The sequence below is a fragment of the Homo sapiens genome, chromosome 3 (genome assembly GCF_000001405.40).
Source record: "Homo sapiens chromosome 3, GRCh38.p14 Primary Assembly".
Classification (NCBI taxonomy): domain Eukaryota; kingdom Metazoa; phylum Chordata; class Mammalia; order Primates; family Hominidae; genus Homo; species Homo sapiens.
Window position 1 is genome coordinate 113,879,169 of NC_000003.12, and position 16,582 is coordinate 113,895,750.

The 16,582-nt window shown below is 41.5% G+C and overlaps 1 protein-coding gene and 1 pseudogene across 4 annotated transcripts in view; both read left to right on the top strand.

The window, feature by feature from the left end:
* GRAMD1C (GRAM domain containing 1C) overlaps nucleotides 1–16,582 on the top strand; it is a 118,983-nt gene that overhangs the window by 50,977 nt on the left and 51,424 nt on the right. For 3 of the 4 annotated variants that reach the window (XM_011512930.2, NM_017577.5, XM_005247547.3), the window contains exon 6: nucleotides 3,584–3,664. In XM_011512930.2, coding sequence (XP_011511232.1) covers nucleotides 3,584–3,664 — 81 coding nt within the window. Of the gene's footprint in view, nucleotides 1–3,583; nucleotides 3,665–11,486; nucleotides 11,857–16,582 lie in introns of those variants that run through there. The other variant, XM_011512931.2, reaches the window with a different exon arrangement.
* Nucleotides 5,930–7,060, top strand: CTDNEP1P1 (CTDNEP1 pseudogene 1; annotated as a pseudogene).

The following is a 16,582-nucleotide window of genomic DNA, read 5'->3' on the forward strand; positions in this document are numbered from 1 at the left end:
CACTCCAGCCTGGGTGACAGAGTGAGACTCCGTCTCAAAAAAAAAAAACCAAAAAACAAACAAACCGACTCTCTTTATCCTGCTTAGGCTGATATTCCATGCCAAGTTGCTTTACCCTCTGCCAGATTGCCCTCTACAGGGACACCCTCTGTTCCCTGCTTGTGCCAGTTTGTCACTATGTGTGGTTGCTGTCCCCACCCTGCTCAGTCTCTGATACTCCAGCACAAGACCACCTTCATGAGCTCTGTAACACTACGCCACCCTCACCTGCTCTGGTTCTGACATGTCATTGTAGGGCATGCTCATTTGTGGCCACTCTTCACCATGTTTGGTCTTTGACACTTGACACCACACAAAAAGCTACCTCTTTATGTGGTCACCCTCCTTGAGCTCTGACTTGTGCTCCTGCTCCATACTTTTTTCACCCCATTCTTGTTCTAATACAGTTCTCCATGTCATCCCCATATGTGGAGGCTGTTACTCATTTGGGCTCTGACACTCCACACGGGATGACCTCTTCCTTTTTTTTTTTTTTTTTTTTTGAGACAGAGTTTCACTCTTGTCAACCAGGCTGGAGTGCAATGGCATGATCTCGGCTCACTGCAACCTCCACCTCCCAGGTTCAAGCAACTCTCCTGCCTCAGCCTCCCAAGTAGCTCAGATTACAGGTGCCCGCCACCATGCCCGGCTAATTTTTGTATTTTTAGTAGAGACGGGGTTTCACCATGTTGGCCAGGCTGGTCTTGAACTCCTGAGCTCAGGTGATCTGCCTGCCTTGGCCGCCCAAAGTGTCGGGATTACCAGCGTGAGCCACCGTGCCCGGCTGACCTCTTCATTCTTATCTGGTTTTGACACTCTGCTTTAGGCTACTTTTTTAGCCTCTCTTGCCTCCCACACTCCTAGTGTGGATGCCTACTTTTCTCTTTTCCACCAATAGCTTTAGGGCTGAACTGTTCAGGAAGGAAAGAGGAAGACTTAAATATTCTTAGTTTTACAATTAATACATAATATACCTTTTCTTTTTTTTAACAAAATCATCAAACAGTTTCAAAACTAACATCTTCATTCCATACCCATAATCCCCAATTCCATTTTCTTTCTAGAGGCAAATGCTATCAGTTTGGTATATATCTTTTCAGACTTCCTTTCTTTTTATTTACATACAGGCATGCATATATAAATGTATAGTTTTGCTCTTTTTTAAAAAAAGTAAATGTAATCTTACATGTGTTGTTTTTCGGCTCTCCTTTTTTTTAAAAAAACAACATTATCTCTTGTAGTTGTAGGTCTGCACGTGTAGATAGACCCACCTCTTTTTTAAAAAATGCTGTATGGTATTTCATAGAATGGATATACCATGATTTCCTTTACAGTTAGTTTCTTTCTAATATTTTATTATTACAAACAGTGCTGCAGTGAACAGCCTGACCATGCCCTCTTATGCTCATGTGTGACTGTTTCTCACATATGTATTGGAATTTCAGGATCAAACATTTAAATTTTAATAATGACAGTAAGTCAGCATTTACTGAACACTTACTGTTATCTAGACACTGCTTTAAGCTCTTTACGTATATTTTCATATGTAATTCTTATAAAGATCCACTATGATAATTATTCTCATTTTGCAGATGAGAAAACTAAAGAAAAGAAAAGTGAGCCAATTCACAGTACTAACAACAGGTGATAGAACAAGAATGTGAACCCAGTTCATTTAATTGCAGAGACCCTGGTCTTAGCTTCCTCACTATGTTAACTCAATGATTTCATTTTTTCATCATCATGGTAAAAAATTCTGTACTACTAAATATTCACCCCTTTTATGTACTCTATGACTAAAGGAAGGCTAATCATAGCAATTTTAGTTGTTTTGGGTTCTAGAATATGTTCTATGCCCCAGCGACTTAGAGGTATCATTATCTAGAACTCTTCCCAAACTCATAAGAAGGCTATTATTGAATCAAGATTAATTTAATTTAATTTATTTATTTATTATTTTTGTCTGAGATGGAGTCTCACTCTGTCGCCCAGGCTGGAATGCAGTGGCGCGATCCTAGCTCGCTGCAACCTCCGCCTCCCGGGTTCAAGCGATTCTCCAGCCTCAGCCTCCCGAGAAGCTGGGACTACAGGCATATGCCACCACCATGCCAGGCTAATTTTTGTATTTTTAGTAGAGATCGGGTATCACCATGTTGGCCAGGCTGGCCTTGAGCTCCTGACCTCAGGTGATCCACCCATCTCGGCCTCCCGAAATGCTGGGATTACAGGCATGAGCCACCATGCCCAGCCAAATCAAGATTTATTAATATGTTTTTGAAGTTGGATATCTAGCAAGGAATAAAAGAAAGGTAGTAATTTATGTAGATTATCCAGAAAGCTGGGCGTTTTAAGGAGTTGGGAATGTGGTGGTTGTGCGTGAGAGTGGATAAAGTTAATACTAAGCTATATAGTACAAGAAGTGGGAATTAGCAAGCATAACACAGTGGTGAAAATGAGATAGACTAGGAGATTTTTAAAATCTATATATCTGAACACAGGGTTGTAAGGTTATTATGATTAGGCAAAACAATTTGGCCTAAGAAAAGGGAATAGGGAACAGCATGTATTGATTGTTAGATCACATATTATATATATAATTCTATTTGGAAGAGATCCTGCATATATCTTCTTTGTAAAAAGTTTTGCTTTATGAATAATGTATAGCAAAGTTTCAATTTAATGAATTAGAAAATAGCACTCTAAAGTCTTTCTGTGAAAATCATTAGCATCCAAAATATTATTTGTTTGATATTTTACTTAATAAAATAACTTAATCCAGCATAGAACTGAGCTTTCTCCTTCCTAAGGATAACTGCTGAGCCATGAAAGGTCATTAACTAGGGAACTGGAAGAGATAACACACTGAGAAGACTGTATTTAGTGCTGTCTTGTTGCATTTTCTTATAAAAGCCTATGTTAAAATATGACTTTGCAAAAATCAATTAAATAAAAATGTAGAATTATAGATTGAAACATACTACTTTTCTCTTATAGCATTCAAAGGAAAGTGCAGTGTTAGCATGGGTACTTTATAATTAGCAGAGAGAGGTATTTCTGGAGTTTTTAGAAGACCATGAAAACTGATATAATTAAAAATTAAGATCCTTAAATCTATCTCTGAAATCCACATGTATTTTTTTCTTATTCCTTTGTGTATACTTGGCTCAAGTGGCAGCCAATTCATATCTCTTCGCAAAGTTCAGAATAAAATAAAGTTTCATTTTTTCATAATTTTATTTAGATTGATTTCCACAATTAAACTGATAAACATAAATAGCTACCTATTTCAAGTCCCCATTGCTAGTAAATACTGACAAAATTGTGTTTATTGGAAGATAAAATTAGTAAAGACACCTTGTTCATATAGCAACTACCCGTGTTTCTTCTATTATAACAAAAAGTTAAATAAAAATAGTATACAAAGTAGGCAGTGTTGACCTACTAGTTTGTTTTAACCATAAGCAAGTCCGCATAGACTTTCATGACAGATAATCTGCTTTTATTTTCCATGACACTAAAATTCTCCTATTATTTTTCTTTGCAGTTTTTCTTCACATCTTTTGGTGCCAGGGATAGAAGTTACCTCAGTATCTTTAGGTTGTGGCAGAATGTATTATTAGATAAGGTAAGTGTTCATACCAGAGGCAGTTGCTTATTATAAGAACCTCCTAGTGTATTTGTGAATTGAAGAGCTCCTTCTTATTTTTCTTAACTAAATTTGACTAGATAATTGAAATTCTAAGTAGAAACTTCAATCAAAGCAAGATCTATAGTTACAAGTTAAGATGTTAATTATAATCCCCAGGATAATCACCAAGAAAATAAATAAAAATAAAAAATAAGCAGCAAAGGAATTAAAATGATACACTAGAAAATATGTTTTTAACATATAGGAAGGCAGTAATGGTGGCACACAGGGACAAAGATGACACAGGACATATAGAAAACAAACAGCAAAATAGCCATTAAACATAAGTGGATTAAACACTGCAACCAAAAGGCAGAGATAGGCAGAATGAAAAAATACATGAACCAAGCCAGGCACAGTGGCTCATACTTGTAATCTTAGCACTTTGGGAGTCTGAGGTGAGCGGATTGCTTGAGCCCAAGAGTTTGAGACCACCCTGGGTAACACAGCAAAACCCTGTCTCTACAAAAAATACAAAAATTAGCTGGGTGTGGTGACGCTTACCTGTAGTCCCAGCTACTTGGGAGGCTGAGGTGGGAGGATCACCTGAGCCCAGGATGTCGAGGCTGCGGTGAGCCATTATCGTGCCACGGCACTCCAGCCTGGGTGACAGAGTGAGATCCTGTTTCAAAAAAAAAAAAAAAACAACCATGATCCATCTATCCATCTTATATGCTGTATATAAGAGACAAATTAGATTCAAAGGCACAAATAGATTGAAAGTAAAAGGAAGAAATATGATACACCATGCAAACAGTAACCAAAACAGAACAGAAGTGAATGTAGTAATATCAGACAAAATAGACTTTAAGACAAAAATTATTAGAGACAAGGAAGAATAAAGGCTCAATTCATCTGGAATTCATAACAATCATAAACATATATAGACCTCGTACAGAGGCCCAAAATATACAAGCAAAAGTTGGCAGAATTGAAGGGAAACTAACAATTCAACAGTAAAACTTGGGACTGCGTGTGGTGGCTCATGCCTGTAATCCCAGCACTTTGGGGGACTTGAGGCAGGCGGATAGCTTGAGTCCAGGAGTTCAGGGCCAGCCTGGGAAACATGGTGAAACCCCATCTCTATTTATTTAATATATAATTAGCAAAAAATGTTGGAAAATTCAATACCCAACTTTCAATGAGAGATAGAACAACTAGACAGAAGACCAACAAGGAAATATAAGACTTGAACACCACTATAGACTAACTAAAAGACATCTATGATGCACTCCACCAAACAGTAGCAGAATATATATATATCCTTTTCAAGTGCACATGAAACATTCTCCAGAATAGACGATATGCTAGGTCAAAAAACAGGTGTCAGTACATTTAACAGTACTAAAATAATACTAAATACGTTCTCTGAGCACAATGGCATGAAATTAGAAATAAATAACGAAGGACATTTGGAAAATTCACAAAAAGTGGAAATTAAACAGAATACTTGTAAATAACCAATGGGTGAAAGAAGAAATCATGAGGGAAATTAGCAAATACTTTGGGTTAGATGAAAACAACAACAAAACATACCAAAACCTATGGGATGCAGCTAAAGCAGTATTTAGAATGACATTTATAACTGTAAACATCTATATTAAAAAAGAATGATAGTGAATCAATAACCTATATTTCTGCCTTAAGAAATTAGAGGCCGGGCGCGGTGGCTCACACCTGTAATCCCAGCACTTTGGGAGGCCCAGGCGGGCGGATCACGAGGTCAGGAGATCGAGACCATCCTGGCTAACATGTGTTATGGTGAAACCTCGTCTCTACTAAAAATACAAAAAATTAGCTGGGCGTGGTGGCGGGCACCTGTAGTCCCAGCTACTCGGGAGGCTGAGGCAGGAGAATGGCGTGAACCCGGGAGGCGGAGCTTGCAGCGAGCTGAGATCACGCCACTGCACTCCAGCCTGGGCGACAGTGAGACTCTGTCTCAAAAAAAAGAAAAAAAAAAAGAAAAAAGAGAGAGGCGCAGCGGACCACTCTCCGCTTTCCCCCCCTTCCCCTCCCCCTCCCTTTTCCCTTCCTCCCTTTTCCCTAGCCACCTCCCCCGCTGCCCCCTCCCCCAATTATCCTTCCCCTTCCCTCCTGGTCTCGGAGGACCCCATCCTAGCCCGACCTGTCTCGGCCCGCAACTTCCCCGAAGGCGTCGGTGCCACTCCCAGTCCATGTGGGCCCCCGCGGGCTGCCCACGCCTGTCCCCCAGCTCCCCATTCCGCTGGGCTTTCCCCTCGCCAGGGGTGGCTTTCTGAGCCGCCCGCTCCGTGCCCCTCTCTGCATTCTCTCCTGCCACTTGGGGCCCCCGTTCCCCCTCCCTTCGGCGGGGGTTGCCCCCGGGGGGCTGGCGGAGCTGGGCCGTGGGGGCCTCCGGGGCCGGCGGTGCCGGGGTCATCCGGATGGTGCGGACGCAGTGTCTGCTGGGACTGCGCACGTTCGTGGCCTTCGCTGCCAAGCTCTGGAGCTTCTTCATTTACCTTTTGCGGGGGCAGATCCGCACGGTAATTCAGTACCAAACTGTTCGATATGATATCCTCCCCTTATCTCCTGTGTCCCGGAATTGGCTAGCCCAGGTGAGGAGGAAGATCCTGGTGCTGGATCTGGATGAGACACTTATTCACTCCCACCATGATGGGGTCCTGAGGCCGCAGTCCGGCCTGTTAGGCCTCCTGACTTCATCCTCAAGGTGGTAATAGACAAACATTCTGTCCGGTTTTTTGTACGTAAGAGGCCCCATGTGGATTTCTTCCTGGAAGTGGTGAGCCAGTGGTACGAGCTGGTGGTGTTTACAGAAAGCATGGAGATCTATGGCTTTGCTGTGGCAGGTAAACTGGACAATAGCAGAAGCATCCTTAAGAGGAGATATTACAGACAGCACTGCACTTTGCAGTTGAGCAGCTACATCAAGGACCTCTCTGTGGTCCACAGTGACCTCTCCAGCATTGTGATCCTGGATAACTCCCTAGGGGCTTACAGGAGCCATCCAGACAATGCCATCCCCATCAAATCCTGGTTCAGTGACCCCAGCGACACAGCCCTTCTCAACCTGCTCCCGATGCTGGATGCCCTCAGGTTCACCGCTGACGTTCATTCTGTGCTGAGCCGAAACCTTCACCAACATCGGCTCTGGTGACAGCTAATCCCCCTCCACTTGGGTTGGGGTGGGGGGGCGGGGGGGAAAGGGATGGCGAGCCCTTGGGATGCCATCTGATGCCCTGTCCAATGTGAGGACTGCCTGGGCAGGGTCTGCCCCTCCCACCCCTCTCTGCCCTGGGAGCCCTACACTCCACTTGGAGTCTGGATGGACACATGGGCTGGGGGCTCTGAAGCAGCCTCACTCTTAACTTCATGTTCACACTCCATGGAAACCCCAGACTGGGACACAGGTGGAAGCCTAGGGGAGCCGAATCAGTGTTTGTGAAGAGGCAGGACTGGCCAGAGTGACAGACGTACGGTGATCCAGGAGGCTCAAAGAGAAGCCAAGTCAGCTTTGTTGTGATTCGATTTTTTTAAAAAACTCTTGTACAAAACTGATCTAATTCTTCACTCCTGCTCCAAGGGCTGGGCTGTGGGTGGGATACTGGGATTTTGGGCCACTGGATTTTCCCTAAATTTTTCCCCTCTTTACTTTCCTTCTATTTTTCTCTCCTTAGACTCCCTCAGACCTGTAACCAGCTTTGTGTCTTTTTTCCTTTCCTCTCTTTTAAACCACACATTATAACTTTGAAAAAAAAATAAATTAGAAAAAGGACAGCAAACTAAATGCAAAGCAAGAAGAAGCAAGGAAATAATAAAGATTATAACAGAAATGAATGAAGTAAAGAATAGAAAAATAGACAATTCAGAACCAAAAGTTGTTTTTTTTTGTTTGTTTGCTTGTTTTTTTTTTTTTTTTTTTTTTTGAGATGGAGTCTCACTCTGTCACCAGGCTAGAGTGCTGTGGCCTGATCTCGGCTCACTGCAACCTCCAACTCCCTGGTTCAAGGGATTCTCCTGCCTCAGCCTCCTGAGTAGCTGGGATTATAGGCATGCGCCACCACGCCCAGCTAATTTTTGTATTTTTAGTAGAGATGGGGTTTCGCCATGTTGGCCAGGATGGTCTCAATCTCCTGAACTCGTGATCCGCCTGCCTTGGCCTCCCAAAGTGCTGGGATTACAGGCATGAGCCACTGCGCCTGGCCTTTTTGTTTTTTTTTTGTTTTTTTTTTTTTTTGAGATAGAGTCTCACTCTGTCGCCCAGGCTGGAGTGCAGTGGTGGCACAATCTCAGACAACCTCCGTCTCACAGGTGCAAGCGATTCTCCTGCCTCACCCTCCCAAGTAGCTGGGACTACAGGCGCCTGCCACCACACCCAGCTAATTTTTGGTATTTTTAGTAGAGGTGGGGTTTCACCATATTGGTCAGGCTGGCCTCTAACTTCTGACCTCTGGTGTTTCACCCACCTTGGCCTCCCAAAGTGCCGGGATTACAGGTGTGAGCCACCACACCCAGCCCAAAAGTTGCTTCTTTATAAAAAATGAGGCCGGGCACTGTGGCTTACGCCTGTAATCCTAGCACTTTGGGAGGCCGAGGTGGGTGGGTCACGAGGTCAGGAGATCGAGACCATCCTGGCTAACATGGTGAAACCCCGTCTCTACTAAAAATACAAAAAATTAGCCGGGCATGGTGGTAGGGCACCTGTAGTCCCAGCTACTCGGGAGGCTGAGGCAGGAGAAAGGAGAATGGCGTGAACCCAGGAGGTGGAGCTTGCAGTGAGCCGAGATTGCTCCACTGCACTCCAACCTGGGTGAAAGTGCGAGACTCCGTCTCCAAAAAAAAAAAAAAAAAAAAGGAAAATTGACAAACCTTTAGCTAGATCAACCAAGAAAAAAAGAAGACTACAATTGTAAAATTTAGGACTGAAAGTGGTGACAATACTACTAACCTTATAAAAATAAGAAAATTATAAGGAAATATTATGAATAATTGTATGCCAACAAATTATTTACCCTAAATGAAATGGATAAGTACTTAGAAAGTCACAAACTACAAAAACTGACTCAAGTAGAAATAGAGAATTTGAATAGACCTATAACAAGAAAAGAGATTGAATTAATGATAAAGAACCTACCACAGAGAAAAGCCCAGGCCCAGGTGGCTTCATTGGTGAACCAACTGTTTACAGTAGAATTAACACCAATCCTTCACCCAGTATTCTAAAAATAGAGGGAACACTTCACAACTTTATCTATGAGTACAGTATTACCTTGATACCAAAACCAGACATCACCACAAGAAAACTCTGGACCAGTATCCCTTATGAACAATGACACAAAAATCCTCAACAAAATATTAGCAAATCAAATCCAGCAATGTATGAAAAGGTATATACTATTATCAAGTAGAATTTATACAAGTTGAACTCAAAGCAGAGAGTAAAGTGGTAGTTGCCAGGGGTAGGAAGAAATGGGGAGATGTTGGTTAAAGGATACAAAGTTTCATTTATGCAAGATGAATGAGTACTGGAGATCAAATGTGCACCATGCTGACTACAGTTAACAATACTGTGTTGTATACTTGAAATTTGCTAATAGAGTAGATCTTAAGTTTTTTCACCAGTACAAAAAAAGAAAGAAGGCAAGCAAGCAAATGATAACTACATGAGGCAATGGATATGTTAATTAACCTGATTGTGGCGACCACAATGTATATGCATATCAAAACATCAAGTTGTATACCTTAAATATGTACCATTCCTATTTGTTAATTATACTTCAGTAAAGCTGAAAAAAAATTTTTTAAATACAAATGCTGTTGAGGATGTGGAGAAAGTGGATCCCTCAAGTACATTGTTGGAAAGATTGTAAAATGATGCAGCCACTTTGAAAAACAGTTTGGCAGCTCCTCAAAATGTTTACCATAGATCTGTTCTTGCAAAAACTTGTACCCCAATGTTCATAGCAGCATTTATTATTCATAATAGCCAAAAAGTAGAAACAATCCAAATGTCCATCAAGTGATTAATGTATAAATAAAATGTATGACCTGGTGTGGTGGCTCATGCCTGTAATCCCAGACTTTGGGAGGCTGAGGCGGACAGGTCACCTGAGGTCGGGAGTTCGAGACCAGCCTGACCAATATGGAAGAAACCCCATCTATACTAAAAATACAAATTAGCCGGGCGTGGTGGCACATGCCTGTAATCCCAGCTACTCGGGAGGCTGAAGCAGGAGAATCACTTGAACCGGGTAGGCAGAGGTTGCAGTGAGCCGAAATCGCGCTATTGCACTCCAGCCTGGGCAGTAAGAGCAAAACTCCTTCTAAAAAAAAACGTATATCCACACAGTGGAATATCATTCAGTAATAAAATGTAGTGAAGTAGTGATACATGCTACAACATGGATGAGCCTTGAAAACATAATGCTAAGTGAAAGACGCCAGTCATAAAAGAACACATCCTGTAGGATTCTGTTCTTATGAAATGTTTAGAATAGGCAAGTTCATAGAAACAGAAATAGTAAAGTTATTGCCTGGAGGAGGGAGTAATGAGAAGTGACAGCTGATGGAGTCAGTTATCTTTCTGGGTTGACAACGTGTCCTGAAATTAGCGGTGATGGTTGTTTAACTTTGGATATGTGAAAACCGCCTGAATTGTACACTTAGAGGGATGAATTTTCAGGTATGTGAATTATAGCACAGTAAAGCTGCTGTTAAAAGAAATGGTTTAAGGGGAACAGTAGAGATTTCCTGCAGATAAGAAAGCCTCTTTTTTTTTTTTTCGAGATGGAGTTTTGCTCTTGTTGCCCAGGCTAGAGTGCAATGGCGATCTCGGCTCACTGCAACCTCTGTCTCCTAGGTTCAAGTGATTCTCCTGCCTCAGCCTCCCGAGTAGCTGGGATTACAGGCATGCGCCACTGAGCCTGGCTAATTTTGTATTTTTAGTAGAGACAGGGTTTCTCCATGTTGGTCAGGCTGGTCTCGAACTCCCGACCTCAGGTGATCTGCCTGCCTCGGCCTCCCAAAGTACTGGGATTACTGGTGTGAGCCTCCACCCAGACAAGAAAGTTTCTTTCTTTGAAGCTGGCAGGTGGGAACTTAGCCTCCTCTCCTCCCTACTCCCCAGCTAAGCACCTTCCTGAAGTGGACAGACACATTTTGGCCTCCAGAGCTCTTCATGTTGAATGGCCTTTTGAACTGAACGCTGAGGACAGGCTCTCCTAAGCAGTGCCCAACTCAAATGCTTTCACTTTACTGGAGTGGGGACCCTTGGAGAAGTAGCCTACAAGTCTGAGATGGGGAAGGGACAGAGGAGAAAAGCTGGTGTGGGTGAGGGGGCTTGCCAAGCCCAGTCTCTCTGACCCATGGTAAGGGAGTAGAAGTGACTAGCTTGGAAGCCCCAAGTCCAAGCCCCTGCTGAGTGTCTGTGGGTGTTTGGATGCCCTGCTTCACCAGAGCCACATGCCCTTGCTCCTGGCCTGGGTGATGCTCACAGGGCAGGTCCACGGGCAGCAGGTCCTGCAGTGCATGTCGTCTACTACAAGGGCGTGGAGCAATGCATAGCTGTGTGCTGCTCTCAACTCAGCTCTATGCTGCCCTCCCAGGTTGCACTTTGGCAAGGAAGCCTCCTTCACCCACTGCAGGCCGGTCACTTTCAGATTCATTGTCATTACCGTGGGGTGCTCTATTCTAGCACTGGCTGAAAACTCCAGTGTTGCCATAGGGACCTGGCTACCCCACCCCAAATACTAACTTGTTGAGTGCTCAGAATCCGTGAGGTGCATTCTCTCATTCTAGCAAGGCACCAGCGACATCGCAGACTATGCTTGGTTATATACTGTATTGAATGTCCTTCCAATGTCACATTTGTGCTTATCACACACATGTGAGTTGGGATATGTCCTTATAAAAACAAATATCTCCAGGGAAGTGATAAAGTTCAGGTTTACAGATGAGCCAAGGGAGAAACTAAGTTCTTCACTTTAATGAAGAAGAAAGCTCTCTGAAGTGAGAAGAAGAAAGGGAATTCCAGAATACTGGAGGCCACCCACCATAGCCAAGAAACACTGCATTTACTGGCTGGAAGTAAAATTTACCCTTCTTTGAAAAGATCCTGATATTATCTGTGTTTCTGATGTATACACACGGAGGTATCACCATTTTCACAGTAGTTATACCTTTTACATCTTTGGATCATTTGGTTATCTTTAATGTTGAATATGCAACTCTGTTTCAAGTGGACACTATATTCTCATTTTAATAAACAGAATGGTGTCTGTTTCTGCTCCACAAGAAGACAAAAATGTTTAAGCATATATTATGTGTAAACTACTGTACAGAACTTAAAGTTGAAGATGAGATCTCAGTTTCAAAACTATCCTAAATGGAATTTTAAGCACTGTAGAATTCAACCAGAACAATTTTTAACGTATAAATATCTATAATAACAATGATAGCAACTCCCATTTATGAAGTATTAGGTGCCAGGCACAGTGCTAGGTGCTTGGTATAGTCTTGGTATTATCTATAATTTTGTAAGCCTCATTTCCCTTTTAGTTTTTTAAAGTCATAAAGCCACATTGGTTAAATTTCTTGATCTTGTGTAATACTCTTAAAAAAAGATAAAAAACCCTCATAAAATATACAGCATAGCTACAAAATTCTATTAAAACAACTTTATAAGTAATTTGAATAATACATTTGATATATATTAAAAATATTTTTGGCCAAGCATGGTGACTCATGCTTGTAATCCCAGCACTTCTGGAGGCTGAGGTGGGAGGATTGCTTGAGACCAGTTCAAGACCAGCCTGGGCAACATAGAGAGACCCCATTTCTAAAAAAAAAAAAAAGTTAAAAAAAATTAGCTAGGTGTGGTGGTGCATGCCTATAGTCCTAGCTACACAGAAGGCTGAGGTAGGAGGATCACTTGAGCCCAGGAGGCTGAGGCTGCAGTGAGCTGTGACCGTGCCACTGCACTCCAGCCTGGTTGACAGAGTGAGACACTGTCTCAAAAAAAAAAAATTAAGTTCAGAATATTATATTTGTGTTGCATGTAATTATGGAATCTAAGTATGTGTTACTTCTGCTTGCTTCTTGCATGAGAAGGCCTTTAAAAAAGCAAATTAATCTAGAAAGTAGATTTTTCATTAAAGTACTATAAAATGATAGTAAAATTATGTTTGTGTGCATTTGTTTTATTTATTTTTCCAGTAAAATAAATCCACAAGACTGAAAGACTTGGAGCCAAATATGTTTCCTTTGAAAAAGAATGTTTTTAAAAGAATCATCTTTTTCTCTTCATAAGACTGCTTTGGGCCAGGTGCAGTGCTCACGCCTGTAATCCTAGCCCTTTGGGAGGCTGAGGTGGGCTGACCACCTGAGGTTAGGAGTTTGAGACCAGCCTGGCCAACATGTTGAAACCCTGTCTCTACTAAAAATACAAAAATCAGCTGCGCGTGGTGGCAGGCACTTGTAGTCCCAGCTACTCGGGAGGCTGAGGCAGGAGAATCGCTTGAACCTGGGAGGTGGAGGTTGCAGTGAGCTGAGATGGTGCCACTGCACTCCAGCCTGGGTGACAGAGTGAGACTCCATCTCAAAACAAAACAAAACAAAATAAAAATAAAAAACTACTTTGGTACATTGCTCCAGAAAGGAGAGTTTATTTCTAATATTTGACCTGGTGAAACATAAGTCATCCATGTTTAGACGTGAGTTTAAACTGTCACTCTGTCACTACAATCATTCGTGACATAATTTATAGCGCTTCAGCTTAGTTCACAGTCTGTGAGTTTAGCTCCCATTCTCTAGACAGAGCATTGAATATCTGGGATTTGTGGGGCCAGAGGACAATGGCAGCACCATTCTTTAATACAAACAATTGATGTTTTCTTGGTCTTTGTAAAGAACTGTGCAGTCATAGTTCAAGATAAGTTTTAGGCCCTTCCCACTCCACTCCTCAGCTCTTTTTTTTCATTTGTGCCAGCCCCCATCCGTGTTCTATACCAGAGCCAAGCACAGTCCTGCTTTGTTTTTGTATGGTCTGCACACAATGACTAGTTTTACATTTTTAAATGGCTGAAAAAAATCAAAAGAATAATATTTCATGACATGTGGCAATTATATGAAATTCAAATTTCAGTGTCCATAAATAAAGTTTTATTGGAACACAGCCATGCTCATTTGTTTATGTATTTCTATGGCTGCCTTTCACACTACAACAGCAGAGTTGAGTAGTTGTGACAGAGACCATATGGCCCAAAAAGCCTAAAATATTTACTATATGGCCCTTTACAGAAACAGTTTGTCGAACCCTGAACAGTACTACAGCCAAAGTTATCTTTTTTTAAAAAAAAATGCTTGCTTATTTTTGCTTCCTGCTTAATACCCATTGCCCTTGGAATAAAAACCTAAAAATCTCTGTAGGGACCACATAATCAAGACCCTTCCCACCTCTCCACCCACATCTTAATATACCCTCTCATTCTTGTCATCTTAAATGTTCTGCTTTTTTTTTTTTATTAAGTCTTCAAATATTCTTTCTGCCAGGAAGTTGTGACCCTCTTATTCCCACTCTAGTTCTCATTAATAAACCTGAAGTCAGGTTCTTTCTTTTAGTTTTCTATAACATTTTGTATTTCTATAATATGCATTACAGTTACAATTCTATGGTCTATTTCTGTTCTCCTTGCTTAACTATAAATCCCTTGAAGACAAGGACCATGTCTGTCTTGTTCACTGTTGTATGTCCACTGACAAGTTCAGTCTTTACCACATAGCTGGTTTGGTATACAGTTTGGTTTACCAAGTACGGTCTGAAACTGTCTGGGTTTAGGCCTTTGTCAAAGTAAATATTGCGCTTCCCTTACTCTCAAAAGTGTGCCAGTTTGGACAATAAATTATACATTACGTGTAACAGATGATCAATAAATACTTTTTGAATGACTCAATTTAGTAGAACTTCAATGATTTGGAGTCCAAATAATTACTACTGTTAACAAGATATTATAAATTCTCTTAGTTCAAGGAAAAGGCAAAGGATGGGGGAAAACACAGACATTTCTGAAATATTTCAGAAACAGCATTCAGGGCACACCCTAAGTTCAATGTATATTTAATTCAATTTCTTTAACCTTCAATATGTACGGTGAGAACAAATGATTATCTTGAAACACTAAAGCATCCTCAGTTGCCAAAGAAATGTTATTTTCTATATACTTGAATTACTAAGAAAATAGGGTTCGTATGTAAGGTTATCAGTAGTAACAAGGGTTAAAATTTAAAAGATTTTTAAAATTGAGGCTCAATCAATTATTTCATATTCCTACTGATATTCTTGTATTATTGCATTTAGGATTACAGATATTATAATATAGGCAGGATGTATGCAGAAAATTTACTTTTGTACTGTTGTTTTTTTTTTGAAATGGAGTCTTGCTCTGTTGCCCAGGCTGGAGTGCAATGGCATGATCTCGGCTCACTGCAACCTCCGCCTCCTAGGTTCAAGCGATTCTCCTGCCTCAGCCTCCTGAGTAGCTGGGATTACAGGTGCTTGCCACCACACCCAGCTAATTTTTGTATTTTTCATAGAGGCGGGGTTTCACCATGTTGGCCAGGCTGGTCTCGAACGCCTGACCTCAGGTGATCTGCCTGCCTTGGCCCCCCAAAGTGCTGGGATTACAGACGTGAGCCACCACGCCCGGCCTGTACTGTTTTTATCTTAGCAAGGTAATAGTGGTCTCTCTTGCCAGCACATGGGGGCTATGGGGAAGCTAGCTCTCCTTGGAAATTTAAGAGTATATTCTGAAAGTGAATATTTCAATCCAGGGTCTAATAGAGCAGAAATCTGTACTTATTTTGAATTTTAAGGCTTAAAGAGACAGAATGTCTTTTCATCTTATTCCCAAATGGCAGAAGAAGATAGCATATGTTAGATTCAGGGGTAAAGTAATGAGGGGAGCTTTTTAAATGTATACAGATATACGCTGTCTAAATTCTGATACATGTTACTCTAGCTTCTATTTTGGGAATCACTAAGTAGAAGGTTGACAGAAGGGTGTCCTATTCCTCAGGTGTGTTGGGGAAAAAGGGTTTAAAACAGTTGATTGAAAGTATTAGTGTATAAAAAGAAAGAATATATCGGTCTGAAGAGGACTTGGTCAGACGTAGGCCAAGAACTTAGGACTTAGGACAGAAAAGTAGAGTTGCAGAGGCAGACTTTGATCAATAGAGAACCATATGGAGATGGGACAGAGATGAATCATCATGCCCCACCAAGGTCACAGTAAATTGTCCCTTAAAGCTGTCTACTTTTGCTCTGATTCCATGCTTGTTGTGCCACTTTCTGATTGCTAATCTGACTTCCAAGGTATTCAGGTGTTCTGGGCGATAGAAGAAAAGATTTCTGATCACCAGAAAGGAATCTTCCCCACCGTGCATTAGTGTATTTCCAACTGAGCTAGTATCAGCTCGTGAGTGTGGCTTATATAAGTTGGCCTCCCTGAGCCAACTCTAGGATAGTGACAGCTCTGAGGCTTTTCTCTAAATAGTGGTCAGTTTACAAAGCCTATGTCAGCCACTGAGACCTTTTGGAGGAGTGTCATCCAGCTTTCTCCTTTAGCCTGCGCAACATTATCAAATCCCCTTGTTCTTTTATTTTGGAGTTACTGGAATTCCAAAAGTTTTCCAGTAGTGCTATCAATCTAATAAATGCAACATTCAGACCTACCTGGAAAAAAAATGAATATGAAATTGGTAACTATTTGTCACGTTTGCTATGTAATAGCATGGCAGTATAGAAGTGTTTGTATTATATAATTCCCTCTTTTTTACCTTCTTGATTGTCAGAACTCCTCTATCTATTTTCCCTTGGTCAGT